Source organism: Homo sapiens, chromosome 7, assembly GCF_000001405.40.
Source record: "Homo sapiens chromosome 7, GRCh38.p14 Primary Assembly".
Lineage (NCBI taxonomy): Eukaryota > Metazoa > Chordata > Mammalia > Primates > Hominidae > Homo > Homo sapiens.
In genome coordinates this window covers 68,017,330-68,033,147 of record NC_000007.14, presented here as the reverse complement: position 1 = coordinate 68,033,147, position 15,818 = coordinate 68,017,330, and the positions used below count along the sequence as shown (strand labels likewise).

The window sequence follows — 15,818 nt, the reverse complement described above, 5'->3', positions numbered from 1 at the left end:
GATCTTAAGAAAACAGCTGGTGTAGAGAAAGGGGAAATTATCTCTAATTCACTCAACTGAACCACAAATATAGCTGTCATCTTTTTCAGAGTAAGAAGAGTAGATGCTATTGGGAGATGAGGATGAAGGACCCAGATGGATACAGTCTGGATGGAGAGCTGATGTGACTTATTATTCTGCCCGTGAGAAGCCCTGCACAATTTTCATTCATGCTTACAGCACCAAATGGTACTTTGAGCTGCCATTGGAATGAAAAATACAGTGCAAATATAAATCCATTTTGGCAACGCTTGACTTTTTTTCTGAGGGTATAAAACTTTGGGGTCTGAATCACTTGATGATAAAAGAGATACACAGACAGTTTTTCATTCATTTAACAAATATTAGCTGAGAACCCAGAAACTGTGCCCTAGGGATGTTGAAGTGAAAGTGTTACATGAGCTGAGACCTAACTTACCAGCTGTGTTGATCTAGAAGGAAGAGAGATCTAAGTTAGGGCCACTGCCTAAGCTTGAGGGGGCTTGCAGTATCTGTGGGAACCTGCATTCTCTTCTTTTCTGAAAATCATTAAAATTATATTTAAATTTTAAAATTTTGTTATGATGAGGTGCCTATGAAGATGTCAGCAGTGTGGTTATCCTGAGTGGCTTCCACACTGCTTGAGCCAGAATGCACACCCTATTCATAACCAGTCTGAGCAAGTTGTAACCCCAGATGGTCCTGCTGTCTCATGTTAGGGTTGTAGACCTTTCAGATGAATGTTAAGGATGGGATCCAAGTACCAGCCCTTGTGTCGATAGAATTATTTAAAGCGGCCAAGGATACAAAATCATGGGGCAAAAGAAATCCATTTCTTGGACAGGTGCGGTGGCTCATGGCTGTAATCCCAGCACTTTGGGAGGCCGAGGCGGGCAGATCATGAGGTCAAGAGATTGAGACCATCCTGACCAACATGGTGAAACCCCATCTCTACTAAAAATACAAAAATTAGCTGGGCGTAGCGTTGGGCACCTGTAGTCGCAGCTACTTGGTAGGCTGAGGCAGGAGAATCACTTGAACCTGGGTGGCAGAGGTTGCAGTGAGCAGAGATTGTGCCACTGCACTCCAGCCTGATGACAGAGCAAGACTCCATCTCAAAAAAAAAAAAAAAGAAAAGAAAAGAAAAAGAAAAAGAAATCCATTTCTCAGAGACACAAAATGGAAGAACTAAGTCTGCCCCCAAGTTCAAGGCGTGGAGTAGGGCAGATCATGCATAACAAAATGGAGAGTCAGAAGGTGCAATGATGCATGCCTGGAGCCCAGAAAAAGCCAAAAATTGAGCAAAAAGGAGCCAAGAAAGTTTCTGAAAATGGAGATGGAGCGTCATCAGTATTAAGCCTGAATGCACAGATGGATGGATTGGCTTTTGGATGATGTCATGGGGTAAGGGTGGACACACGTTCATTTAGGCATCACCTTGAGTGGAAAAAAGAGAGCATGATAGCTGGAGAAAGAGCATCCAAGTGTTTCAATGGGAAAGAGCTCTGATATCACCTCGAGATTGGAAAGCTTTTCACATCCTTCCAAGGGAATCACCGCTCCATTCTGGAAAAAAAAAAATCAGTATTTAATATTGCTTTGGAGAATTTCTAGTTCTTCATGTAACAAATCCTTTGAAATTGCACTGAAGTTACACTTGAATATACTGTATTTGCCTGCCATTTACTAATTCACATGGGCTGTTCTTTCTAATCTCTACATCAGAGCAAAATCCTTTTCATGCTCCATTTCCTGGACACTACAGCCTCTTATTTTGTAGATAATGTTCTCTTTTTCTACTATGATTCCAAATGACTGGAAAAAAAATACACAAGTCTCAACCAGCCCCATGTAATAACCTGCCTACTGCCACAATATGGGTTGCTGAGGGCTTTTTGTTTACTATTTTACTCCATGTAAGATGGTTACATGTCAAAGATTTTTACAATGTTGGAGGCTTTTAGAAGATCAAGAGTGGATAAAGAGATGTGATATGATTTTAGACTTTTTGATTTTGGCCTGGTTTGTCATTTGTCTCCACTTGTTTCTTCCAAACAATCCACTATATTTTTCTGCAATTTTATTGTACTTACAATTTTAAATATTTTATTAAAGTACAACATTACAGCATGATGTATTTTTTTTTCCAAAATTTGCCACAGCAATATATCTGGTCCCCAGTAGTCTTTCAGAATTTTGCCAATCCCCAGCCAGAGATAGAGTAAATTTTTTCCTCACTTTGAAATTGGATGGGCGTTTGTGGCTGTCTTGATGAACAAAATTCAGGGCTAGTGACACTACACAGCTTGGAGACAAGGTCATAAAAGACAATATGGCTTCCACCTGACTCTCCATGCTCATCTTTAAAAACCAGTCGCCATGTTGTGGGGAAGCCCAGACCACATGAGGAGGCCTCATGTAGGTGTTCCAGGCAAAAGCCCCAACTAAAGTTTCACCCAAAGCTAGCACCATTTCAATTCAATTTTAACCAGCATCAATTGGAAGACATGGAAGTGAGAAAGCCTCACATAATCCTAGCCCCCAGCCTTCCAGCGGCCCCAGCTGATGATGAATGTAGTGAACACAAGTTATCCCTGCCAGGCTCTGCCCAAATTGCAGATTCATGAGAAAAGTTAATGTTGCTTTAAGCCACCATGTTTTGCAGTGATTTGTTACCCATTACTGGGTGACTAGAACAAACACTCACACAGAAGACACATGTCATAATTATACAGGTTGATGAATTTTCACAAACTGAACACAGCCATGCAACCAGCACTCAGATCAAAAAAATAGCTTCTCAGAAGCCTCATTACTCTTCTGGTCCTCCCTCCAAAAGATAGCTACCATCCTAACATTTTTTGCCTAATTAATGTTTTTGCCTATCCCAATGAAATTTCTTTTTTGCCTATTTTAGTATTGACCAAAGCTGTCACATGGTTGTTGTGACCCCATTAGCAGCAACTTGCCTAGGACAATGAGGTAAGATCCCAGCCAAGGAACTCCTGCCTCTGGGAGGGTTCCCAGTTAGAAGAGGATTGCTGTGTGCTATGGACTGAACCACATCCCCCTAGAATTCATGTTTGGAAGCCCTAATCCCCAGTGTGATGGTATTTGGAAATAGGACCTTACAGGAGGTAATTAAAGATAAATGAGGTCTCAAGGGTGTGGCCCTAACCAAGAGGCATAGTGCCCTTAGAAGCAGAGGAGACACCAGTAGAACATGCACACAGAGGGAAGGCCACAGTCAGAAGGCAGCTGTTTAAAAGCCAGCAAGAGAGACCTCACTAGAAACCAAACCTGCTGGCACCTTGATCTGGGACTTTCAGCCTCCATAACTGTGATAAAATGAATTTCTGTCATTGAAGCCATCTAGTCTGTAATATTTTGCTAAGGCAGCATGAGCAGGATTATACTGGATAATCAATGAAGCCTAACACCACTGTGGTGGAGAGCTTAGTTGAAAATGGAAAAACTGCCGGGAACAGTGGCTCATGCCTGTAATCTCAGCACTTTGGGAGGCCAAGGCAGGCGGATCACTTGAGGTCAAGAGCTCAAGACCAGCCTGGCCAATATGGCAAAACTCCATCTCTACTAAAAATACAAAAATTAGCCAGGTGTGGTGCCAGGCACCTGCAATCCCAACTACTCAGGAGGCTGAGGCATGAGAATTGCTTGAACCCACCCGGGAAGTGGAGATTGCAGTGAGCCAAGATCATGCTACTGACTCCAGCCTGGGTGACAGAGCAAGACTCTGTCTCAAAAAAAATAAAAAATAGAAAAAAGAAAGAAAGAAAAGGAAGGAAGGAAGGAAGGAAGGGAAGAAAGAAAGAAAGAAAAAGAAAGGAAGAAAGAGAAAGAAAGAGAAAGAAAGAAAGAAAGAAAGAAAGAAAGAAAGAAAGAAAGAAAGAAAGAAAGGAAGGAAGGAAGGAAGGAAGGAAGGAAGGAAGGAAGGAAAGAAGGAAGGAAGAAAGAAAGAAAGAAAGAAAGAAAGAAAGAAAGAAAGAAAAAGAAAGAAAGGAAGGAAGAGAGAGAGAGAAAGAAAGAAAAAAGAAAGAAAGAAAGAAAGAAAGAAAGAAAGAAAGAAAGAAAGAAAGAAAGAAAGAAAGAAAGAGAAAGAAAGCAAGCAAGCCACCTGTAATCCCAGCTACTTGGGAGACTGAGGCATGAGAATCGCTTGAACCCAGGAGGCGGAGGTTGCAGCGAACCGAGATCGTTCCACTGACTGGGTGACAGAGTGAGACTTCATCTAAAAAAAAAAATAGGAAAGAAGTAAGAAAGAAGGAAAGAAAGAAGGAAGGAAGGAGGGAGGGAGGGACGGAGGGAAGGGAGGGAGGGAGGAAGGAAGAAAGGAAGGAAGGAAGGAAGGAAGGAAGGAAGGAAGGAAGGAAGGAAGGAAGGAAGGAAGGAAAGAAGGAAAGAAGGAAGGGAAATGGAAGAACTGAGGCTGAATCTCCCCAAATCTGAATGACAGAGAAGAAGGCATGTTTGGGAGTTGACGATCATTAGACATGTTTAGAGTACCTACTCAAGCCGTTGACACTCCAGGACTAATGCCTCTCACAGCCATTGATGGTAGAGAAAGCCTATGGGTTTTTAACTATAGTAGTTGACTGCCGCCCTGACCACAGTTGATGGGAAGAGGGGTGGGAAGCTGATCTAATTGTGCCAAATGAATTTAACTTCTCTTTCTGAAGAATCAGAGAACCTATACATAGCCCAAACAGCTGTAGACACCAGAGCTCCATGGTCACATAATCCCAGAAGTTATAGCTGACTTGACTGGAACATATGCATGATGACAAATAAGCCACCAAAAAAAAAAAAAAAATCAGGACAAAGATAGCAGGATCATGAGACAGATACTCTAAGAGATGCCCATATCATATTCTGAAATGCAGGGGGAGAGAGAGCAGAGGTATAAAGACAGAGACCTGGGGGTACTTCCTGCAAAGGGTACTGTGAGACTCCCTTCTCTTCTTCTAATCCATTTTTTTAAATTTTTTATTTTATTTTATTTTGAGACAGGGTCAGTCTCACTCTGTCACCCAGGCTGGAGTGCAGTGGCACTATCACAACTCATTGCAGACTTGACCTCCCAGGCTCAGGCAATCCTCCCACCTCAGCCTCCCAAGTAGCTGTGACTACCGGCATGCACCACCATGCCCAGTTAATTTTTGTATTTTTTCTAGAGATGGGGTTTCACTAGGCTGCCCAGGCTGGTCTCGAACTCTGGAGCTCAAGTGATCCTCCCGCCTTGGACTCCCAAAGTGCTGGGATTACAAGTATGAATCACTGCATCCGGCCAAATCTATTTCTTTATACTGAGCTGTTTGGCTGTACTGGGTGGCCAGGCATGTGGAACACTGGACCCAATGCTGACAGAGGCAATCCAGACCCTAACTGCTTTGAACCTAAAACAGTTAACACACCCTCTTGCCTATTCAGAACTGATTCTGGACAATTGACAGAATTGAGGCTGAAAATTAAAGACACTAACTCTCTTTCCAGAATCATACAAGCACAGCATTTCTACAGATTTTCTTTTCTTTGTTTCTTTTTTTTTTTTTTTTTTTGAGATGGAGTCTCGCTCTGTCGCCAAGGCTGGAGTGCAGTGGCACAATCTCAGCTCACTGCAACCTCTGCCTCTTGGGTTCAAACGATTCCCCTGCCTCAGCCTCCTGAGTAGCTGGGCTTACAGGCGCGTGCCACCCTGCCTGGCTAATTTTTGTATTTTTAGCAGAAATGGGGTTTCACTGTGTTAGCCAGGATGGTCTCGATCTCCCGACCTCGTGATCTGCCCGCCTCGCCCTCCCAAAGTGCTGGGATTACAGGCGTGAGCCACCATGCCCAGCCACTTCTACCAATTTTCTAAGCATCTCAGGATTAGTCAGGGCTTTCCACACTTTGTATATATCATATCATTTAGCATTGTGAAAATGCTCTCAAGGCATACTTTCTAGTCTGTCCTCTTATTATTTATTTATTTGAATTGGAATCTCACTTTGTTGCCCAGGCTGGAGTGCAGTGGCACAGTCTCAGCTCACTGCAACCTCTGCTCCTGGGTTCAAGCGATTCTCCTGCCTCAGCCTCTGGGGTAGCTGGGATTACAGGTGCGTGCCACCACACCCAGCCAATTTTGTATTTTTAGTAGAGACATGGTTTCACCATGTTGGCCAGGCTGGTCTCAAACTCCTGACCTCAGATGATCTGCCTGCCTCGGCCTCCCGAAGTGCTGGGATTACAGGTGTGAGCCACCGCACCCAGCCTGTCCTCTTATTATTTGTTGATGGATCTCTTTGCTTAGTTGATTGAGAACTTCCTCAAATCAAGCACTGTACCCCAATCAACTCCACAGTCTATTGGGTTTAAACCCAGGGACCATGCACATGAAATGTTCAATGTCTATAAATGAATAATTTTGTTAAAAAAATTTTTATAAAGACCTGGTTTCTCTTCTTGTGTTGTTACTAATTTGCTGTGTCACCTTAGGCAAATCAATAAACTATTCTGGGCTTTGGTGTGCTGATAAAGAAAATAAAGACATTGGGCTATACCTTCTTTTAGGTCCTTTTAAGCTTTGCCTCAATGTACTCTATTTATATTCTGGCAAAGCTGTGAACTACTTATAGAAGAAAAATCAAAACCTCAGTGGCAGTGACCTTAAGGTAGTATCTAAATTAGGCTGTGATCTGTCCATCTGTTTATTTTGGAGATCAGTCATGTTCCTGTTTCAGAACACTGATCCTGCCTATCGCCTCTTCCCCCGGAGGCTGCCTGGCATCCCATTTCAGTCTTGTCTTATGTAGCTGGCTGATGTTTGATCTTCAGTTCACATTTGTTCCTGCTCTTATCACTCTTGGGAGGCTGTTATTACCCTCTTCCAATGCCGTCAAAGGTCTTTAATGCCTACCTTTCAACATGTTGTGTGTCATCTTGTAGACACTGCTGAATGTTAGCTTAGCATTGCCCAGGGACATCCAAGACCTGGTGAATGACAAATGAGAAATGAATTGAAATTTCTCTCTTTTAACTGGTCTCAAAATAGAATGTCCAAATCATAAGGTTGGCTGCCCTTTTGGTGAAGGTATTCCTCAGTATAATTTCTTCACATCTCTGTCTCCAGAACCAAGGGCTTGTGGGTGCAATGGAACAAAACTGACCTGAGAGCCAGGCACCTCTCCAAGTCTCAGTTCCACCACTAACTAGCTTAAGTCTGCATTACACTGTAAGACACTCAACATCATTTATTTCTAGATACTATAGGCAGATATTCTAAGCTTGCCTTACAGATTGTGCCTAAATTGTGCCTAAACTTGCCCAAAGTGCCTAAACTAGGTAGGCTCATGTAGTATCACAGTTTGCTATACTAGATGCTCTGGATGGATAAATACAATTAGACCCATAGCTTCCAATTACAGATTGCTTATCTCTAAACTGCAGTCTTATAGGCAGCATTCCCAAAGCATGTTCCATAGAGCACAAGAGGCACAGGTGCTTCTTCAAAGCAGGGCTCCATGGTGTAGTGGACACTGTCATGTGCTACCCAGAACTTCAGCTCCTGGACAGAGGCACCCATTCCCTCAGCTGCTCCATCTCCAGAACTTGCCCTCAGCTGAAGTGAACTGCTTTATTCAAAGCCACACTCTCTTCCCAAGACAGCCTGCATCCAATGCATCCAATGGTCAACATGGGGTAGCTCTGGGGAGGTGGCAGTGGTATCCAAAAAGAGAGAAAGAAGGAGAGTGGCTAGGGCTGAAAACCTACCTATTGGGTACTATGTTTGCTATTTGGGCGATGGGCTTGATAGAAATCCAAACCTCACAATTTGCAGCATACTCATGTAACAAACCTGCATGTGTTTGAATCTAAAATAAAAACAAGCAAATGAAAAATTGATCATGTATTCATAAAGACATTTTTAGAAAAGGAAGGCACTGGCTGGGCATGGTGACTCATGCCTTTAATCCCAGCATTTTGGGTGGCCAAGGCCATTGGATCACCTGAGGTCAGGAGTTCGAGACCAGCCTGGCCAACATGGTGAAACGTTGTCTTTACTAAAAATACAAAAATTAGCTGGGTGTGGTTGTGCCCACCTGTAATCCCAGCTACTAGGGAGGCTGACAAAGGAGAATCGCTTGAACCTGGGAGGCAGATGTTGCAGTGAGCCAAGACCGTACCACTGCACTCCAGCCTGGGCAATAGAGCAAGACTCTGTCTCAAAAAATAACAATAATAATAATAAAGAAAAAGAAGGCACCATTTTCATCAGATTTTCAGAGTGATCCCCCTAACACTGAGAACAAATATGTCATATAGAAATGAAAAATAAATTAGCCTATTAATTAACTGCTGAGGGGATCTTCCTTGCTCACATTCCAGCTCAAACCTTTTTATTTTTTTAACTTTGAAGAATGCTAGCATCCTAATGCAATTTCTCTTCAACCCCCAATATTGGGAAATATCCGGCTTATGCTTCCTTTTCTTCATGCATCTCCCTCCTACTCTCAGGCACATCTATTTGCTCAGCGATGTGGGTTGTGCTTGTCAATAATGGCACTTACAGTTCAGAGTAATGATCTCTGCTCGCCTTTCCCATCTGTTATTTCCATACGCCTGACGTCTTCATAGTACCTTTTCAGGGAATAAGAAGACGCTCCTTTACAAACCATCCTTCTCTCTCTAAATACTTAATGTCGACATTGTTTGGGCTGCTCTTTATGAAACGAAGCATCATGACTGAAGCCATCATTCTGACTCTTTGTAATAATCACAGCTCAATTTTCCAGCCGAGGCTGATTTCTGGCAGGCCTGTGGTCAGGACCATACATTCACAGGACTTCCTGTCATCTCCATCTTTAGATTCCAGCTCTGGTTGGAACAGTTAATTTCCCTCATTTGCAATGTCACTTCTACCATCCTACCTAGTATATCATCCTCACATGAGCTCAGGGCTGCCCTTCTGAGAGATCCCAAAGCATCCCCAGCTCCTCTAGAGTAGGGAGGAGCTAGTGGGTGTCATGGGGACACCAGGCCTCTGTCTATTTGAAATCTTGTTTTTTTTTGAGATAGAGTCTCACTCTGTCATCCAGACTGGAGTGCAGTGGCACGATCTCGGCTCACTGCAACCTCCGCCTCCCAGGTTCAAGCAATTCTCCTGTCTCAGCTTCCCATGTAGCTGGGATTACAGGCACCCACCACCATGCCCAGCTAATTTTTATATTTTTAGTAGAGACAGGGTTTCACCACGTTGGTCAGGCTGGTCTCGAACTCCTGACCACAAATGATCCGCCCACCTTGGCCTCCCAAAGTGCTGGGATTACAGGCATGAACCACTGTGCCCCAGCCCCATTTGAAATCTGAGTCAGCACAGCCTGGAGACCTGCAGGCACCCACCAGCGATGCAAACTCAGGGATGAAGGAAAGGAACTCAGGAGGGAGAGCTGCTGGGAGCAAACAGGAAATTCACCTTGACTGTTGGCTTAGATTCGGGAGAGTTGAAAGGGCCGGGCTGGAATCTGGAGAGAGCAATACCACCAGTCATTGTAGTAATCATAATATCTAACATTATCAGGCACTTTCTTTATTTATTTTTTTTTTTTTTAGATGGAGTCTCACTCTGTTGCCCAGGCTAGAGTGCAATGGCGCCATCTTGGCTCACTGCAACCTCCACCTCCTGGGTTCAAGCAATTCTCCTGCTTCAGCCTCCCGAGTAGCTGGGACTACAGGTGCCCACCACTAGGCCTGGCTAATTTTTGTATTTTTAGTATAGACAGGGTTTCACCATGTTAATCAGACTGGTCTCGAACTCCTGACCTCAGGTGATCCACCAGCCTCAGCCTCCCAAAGTGCTGGGATTATAGGTGTGAGCCATCACGCCTGGCCATCAAGCATTTTCTATACATCAGATACTGTATTTAGTACCCCTACAGGCTGGGCAAGGTGGCTCACGACTGTAATCCCAGCACTTTGGGAGGCTGAGGTGGAAGGTTCGCTTGAGGCCAGGAATTTCAGACCAGCCTGGGCAGCAAAGCAAAACCCCATCTCTACAAAATAATTTTTAAAAAACTAGCAAGGTGTGGTGGTGCATGCCTCTAGTCCTAGGTACTCAGGAGGCTGAGGTGGGAGGATGGCTTGAGATCAGGAGTTCAAGGCTGAAGTGAGCTATGATTGCACCACTGCACTCCAGCCTGGGTGACAAAGTGAGACCTTCTCTCAACAACAACAACAAAATAAGTACTTTGCATGCATGAAGTCATTTATTCCCCATGACAATCCTATAAGATAGATACTATTATTTCTTCATTTTTCAGATGAGTAAACTGAGACACAGAGAAGAATTCAGATACAATTCTGCTCGTATGTATATCCAAGGGGCACCGACCTGGTGAGTGCAGGCTGACAGATGAGTTTTAAGGCATTGACAGTAACAAAAGTTGCTGGCTGAGCGCGGTGGCTCACGCCTATAATCCCAGCACTTTGGGAAGCCGAGGCTGGCAGATCACCTGAGGTCAGGAGTTCGAGACCAGCCTGGGCAACGTGGTGAAACCCCGTCTTTACTAAAAATATAAAAATTAGCCAGGCATGGTGATACATGCCTGTAATCCCAGCTACATGGGAGGCTGAGGCAGGAGAATCACTTGAACCCGGGAGGCGGAGGCTGCAGTGAGCCGAGATCGTGCCATTGAACTCCAGCCTGGGCAAAAAGAGTGAAACTCCATCTCAAAATATAATAATAATAAAAGTTGCAAAGGCTCAGATTAAAGATTGGAAACCCAAAGCCAGTCAGTGGTTAGGGGTACAGAGTTAAAACTCTGGGCTGAATGGAGAGTCAAGAGGCAGGTCATGGCTTTGGCTCCAAGAAGAGACGCTGGAGCCAGGACTAAGGTCTGAGAGGGCACTGATGAGGATCAGGCCTAGCCGTGGGGATGGGAGTGACATGCTTCGCTAGGCGTGGAGAGAGTGCAGCTCTGTGGGTCTGTGGGTGTCCAGGCTCCAGCCCAGGCAGGACGTACATGGGTTTGGGAGCCACAGGAAGCTGAAATCTCTCAGAAAAGCTCAAAGCCACCCTGCCTGCCCAAAAATTGCACAGGACAAACCAAGACTTTGGGATACTGAGCCCCGCAGAGCAGGTGAGAACATGCTCCTTACTGACAGATGAGAACCAAGATTTCTCAGGCTTCCCACTCGGGTGTAAGAGCTGGCAAGAGCTGCAACATGATCCAACCACTGCCTCTGCATTTGTGCTGAGAGTCAAAGAGAAGCAGAGGAGAAGGGTGGTAAGGACCACCGGTCTCTGGGAGCCCCCTACCACCATGGCAGGTCTCTCTGGTGCTTTGGAGAGAGCTGTGATCGGGCCTGTGATGATGAATATTGAGTGTCAACTTGATTGCATTGAAGGATGCCAAGTATTGTTCCTGGGTGTGTCTATGAGGGTCTTGCCAAAGGGGAGTAACATTTGAGTCAGTGGACTGCGAGAGGCAGACCACCCTCAATGTGCATGGGCACCATCTAAACAACTGTCAGTGCAGCTAGAATAAAGCAGACTCGCTGAGTCTTCCGGACTTCATCTTTCTTCCATGCTGGATGCTTCCTGCCCTTGAACGTCAGACTCCATGTTCTTCAGCTTTGGAACTCTTGGACTTACAGCAGTGATTTGCCCGGGGCTCTTGGGCCTTTCAGCCACAGACTGAAGGCTGCGCTGCTGTCGGCTTCCCTACTTTTGAGGTTTTGGAACTTGGACTGATCCACCACTGTCTTTGCTCCTCAACTTGCAGACAGCCTGTCGTGGGACTTTACCTTGTAATTGTGTGAGTCAATTCTTCTTAATAAATTCCCTCTCATGTATACATATATCCTATTAGTTCTGTCCCTTTAGAGAACTCTGACTAATACAAGGCCACTGCACTCCACCCTGGATGACAGAGCAAGATCCTGTCTCTAAAAAAAAAAATGCTTTGCCATGGTCAGTTCCTCTAACCTGCTCATGGTGCATTTGGTCCCAGGCCTTGCCCTCTTCTGGTTGAACTCCAATTTTTTTAGCTGCTGAGGGTTTAAGATGGGCCCTATTCCAGGCATGTGCCACTGTGCTTGGCTATATATATTTTTTATATTATTCTGTAGAGATGGGATCTTGCTAGGCTGCCCAGGCTGGTCTCAAACTCGTGGCCTCAAATAATCCTCCCACCTTGGCCTCCCAAAGCACTGGGATAATAAGTGTGAGCCACTGTGCCCAGGCTCCAGGGAATAGGCCCTGTTCCAGCACTTCTTGTTTGTTTGTTTGTTTGTTTGTTTGCTTGCTTGTTTTTTGAGATAGAATCTTGCTCTGTTGCCCAGGCCAGAGTGCAATGATGCAATCTCAGCTCACTGCAACCTCCACCTCCCAGATTCAAGCAATTCTTGTGCCTCAGCCTCCTGAGGAACTGGGATTACAGGCACACGTCACCACGTCCAGCTAATTTTTGTATTTTTAGTAGAGACGGGGTTTCACCGTCTTGGCCAGGCTGGTCTTGAACTGCTGACCTCAATCAAGTGATCCGCCCGCCTCAGCCTCTCAAAGTGCTGTGATTATAGGCGTGAACCACCATGTCCGGCCTATTCCAGCACTTCTTTAAGAGGAGACCCTTGAATACTGAGAAGTCCTTAAAGGCCAAGGAAATGGAGCTTTAGCAGTGAAATTTCAGGCAGAGAGTAAGGCACCTTTGTGAGAAAATGTCCTGAGGGTACAGGCCTGCTTTCCTGGGTGGGGCATGCTTTGAGTGTTCTAAGAAAGATAAGGTGTGCACTTACAGTTTTGCTGACATATGGTAGAATATTGGATCACCACAGAGGGAGAAGGTTACTGTGGCAGTGCAGCATCGTAACTGCACAGAGCAGCTGTCACTTTTCACCACCTAGAAGGGAATCAGTAACAACAATCCACTGTTCAGTCAGCACTCTAGAGCACTCAGTCAGCAAAAACTCTAGAGCCTCTGGACTGTCCGTCCCTACGTGTGTGTATGTGTTATTTCTTTCTTTCTCTCTCTCTCTTTCTTTCTTTCTCTCTCTCTTTCTCTCTTTCTTTCTTTTTCCTTTCTTTCTCTCTTTTTTCATTCTTTCTTTCTTTTTTTGTTTTGTGTGTGTGACGGAGTCTTGCTCTGTTGACCAGGCTGGAGTGCGGTGGTGTGATCTTGGCTCACTGCAATCTTCGCCTCCTGGGTTCAAGCGATTCTCCTGCCTCAGCCTCCCAAGTAGCTGGGACTATAGGCACCCACCATCATGCTCGGCTAATTTTTCTATTTATTTATTTATTTTTTTTAGTAGAGACAGAGTTTCGCCATGTTGGCAAGGTTGGTCTCGAACTCCTGACCTCAGGTGCTCAGCCCACCTCAGCCTCCCAAAGTGGCTGGGATTACAGACATAAGCCAGTGTGCCTGAATTTTTTTTTTTTTTCTTATGACAGGGTCTTGCTCTGTCATCCAGGGTGTAGTGCAGTGGCGTAATCATAGCTCATTGCAGCCTTGAACTCTGGGGTTCAAGCAGTCCTCCCATCTCAGCATTCTGAATAGTTGGGACTACAGGTGCATGTTACCGTGCCCAGCTAGATTTTTAAAAATGTTTTGTAGAGATGGGGTCTTGCTATGTCACCCGAGTTGGTCTCAAACTCCTGGGCTCAAGTGATCTTCCTACCTTGGCCTCTCAGAGTGCTGGGACTACAGGTGTGTGCCACCACACCTGGCTAATTAAAAAGAAAAAAAAAATGTGTAGAGATGGAGTCTTGCTATGTCACCCAGTTTGGTCTCAAACTCCTGGACTCAAGCCATCTGCCTGCCTCCACCTCCCAAAGTGCTGGGATTACAGGCGTGAGCCACCACACTCAGCCCATGCTACTTATGTCTTCTCTGATTCTTGTAGTGACTGACTGCAAAACCGTTCAATCAAGAAGAGCCTTTGGCTCATTTTCAGGACCAGCAGAGAAGGGGGTGGAGGAGCTGAATTTCCCTCTGTGTCCATGCTTGGCAGCATCAGGAGCTAAACACAGAGGTACCCAGGATCTCCACTTCATGCTTGGAAACTCCCTACCACTCAGGGTCACCCAATGTAGGCAAAGACCAGTCCAGCTTGCACTCAGCACTCAGTCAGGTATCATTCTTTATTTTATTATTTATTTATTTATTTATTTTTTATTTATTTTGAGATGGAGGCTTGCATTGTCGCCCAGGCTGGGGTGCAATGGCACGATCTCGGCTCACTGTAACTACCGCCTCCTGGGTTCAAGCAATTCTCCTGCCTCTGCCTCCCGAGTAGCTGGGATTACAGGTCCCTGCCACCACGTCCTGCTAATTTTTTGTATTTGCAGTAGAGACGGGGCTTCACTATGTTGGCCAGGCTGGTCTTGAACTCTTAACCTCGTGATCTGACTGCCTTGGCCTCCCAAAGTGCTGGGATTACAGGTGTTAGCCACCACGCCTGGCCGCAGGAATTATTCTTATGACTCTGATGCCCTTTGGAAACCTGGGAATAGACAATGCACCATCTTCAGCCCAAATCAGAGGAGGAAACATTCACAGATTTCTACAGATCATGCTTGTGGTGGTTTTAAAATATGTCTGCAAAGTGTTTAATAGGCATCTCGGCCAGGCGCGGTGGCTCATGCCTGCAATCCCAGCACTTTGAGAGGCCAAGGCAGGTGGATCACCTGAGGCCAGGAGTTCGAGATCAGCCTGGCCAACATGGTGAAACCCTGTCTCTACTAAAAATAGAAAAATTAGCTGGGTGTGGTGGCGGGTGCCTGTAATCCCAGCTACTTGGGAGGCTGAGGCAGAAGAATCGCTTCAACCCGGGAGGCTGAGGTTGCAGTGATCTGAGATCATGCCATTGAGCTCCAGCCTGGGCAACGAGAGCGAAACTCTGTCTCAAAAAAAAAAGTCATCTTATCCAAAGGGATATTCCCAAATGGAATATCCCTCCCCTTGAATACAGGCTGTGTATGCCTAAAAAATAAAATGCAGCAGAGGTGACTCTATGCGGCTTCTTCCCAGGCTGGATTCCAAGAAACAATACAGTTTCTACCTGGCTTTTTCTCTTTCCAGGATAAATGTATCTTTGAAGCCCAGCCACCATGTTTGGAGGAAGCCTGGACCATAGGTAGAGGCCATGGTCTAGGTGTTCAGCCCACAGCCCAGGTAAGACCCAGGTAAGTTCTAACAGCCATCATCAGCTATTAGCTGGTAAGAGAGGGAACCTTTGGATAATGCCAGTCCTCAAACTTTCAGCTGCCCTGGGGGACACCAAGTGGAGAAGAAATAAGCTGTCCCTCCTAAACCCTGCACACGTAATACATTTGTAAGCAAAATAAATGTTATTGTTTCAACAGCTAAGTTTTGGGATGGTTGGTTACATAGCAATAGACAACTGGGAAAAACAAAATATTCTATTCCTATTTTGTACCCATGTCACCATACAAGCACCACCCTATAATAAAGAGAGCAATTAACAAGCAAAGCAGAACTTAGAGGCGGGAAAGCTTTGGATGTTTCTCTTCAAGAATCTCACCCTGCATTCTGATCTTGGGCTCCTTTGGCGTCGTATAACCTACAACATGACAATTCAGCTCTATACAATCGTACCACTTTAAAAGTACATGTGGGCCTGGAGCGGTGGCTCACACCTGTAATCCCAGAACTTTGGAAGGCCAAGGCAGGCAGATCACAAGGTCAGCAGATCGAGAACATCCTGGCTAACATGGTGAAACCCCGTCTCTACTAAAAATACAAAAAAAAAATTAGCCAGTCGTGGTGGCGGGTGCCTGCAGTCCCAGC

At 45.3% G+C, this 15,818-nt stretch overlaps 2 long non-coding RNA genes across 2 annotated transcripts; one reads left to right on the top strand and one right to left on the bottom strand.

Moving 5' to 3' along the window:
* Nucleotides 1-457: 457 nt before the first annotated feature.
* Nucleotides 458-12,895, bottom strand: LOC102723427 (uncharacterized). Its single transcript, NR_120514.1, has 6 exons — nt 12,808-12,895; nt 9,488-9,536; nt 8,583-8,652; nt 6,932-7,005; nt 1,456-1,584; nt 458-557 (listed from the first exon to the last, which is right to left on the bottom strand). It is a non-coding gene; the product is annotated as an uncharacterized LOC102723427 (long non-coding RNA).
* Nucleotides 11,798-15,501, top strand: LOC107986741 (uncharacterized). Its single transcript, XR_001745022.3, has 3 exons — nt 11,798-11,828; nt 13,912-14,139; nt 15,090-15,501. It is a non-coding gene; the product is annotated as an uncharacterized LOC107986741 (long non-coding RNA).
* Nucleotides 15,502-15,818: the final 317 nt, after the last annotated feature.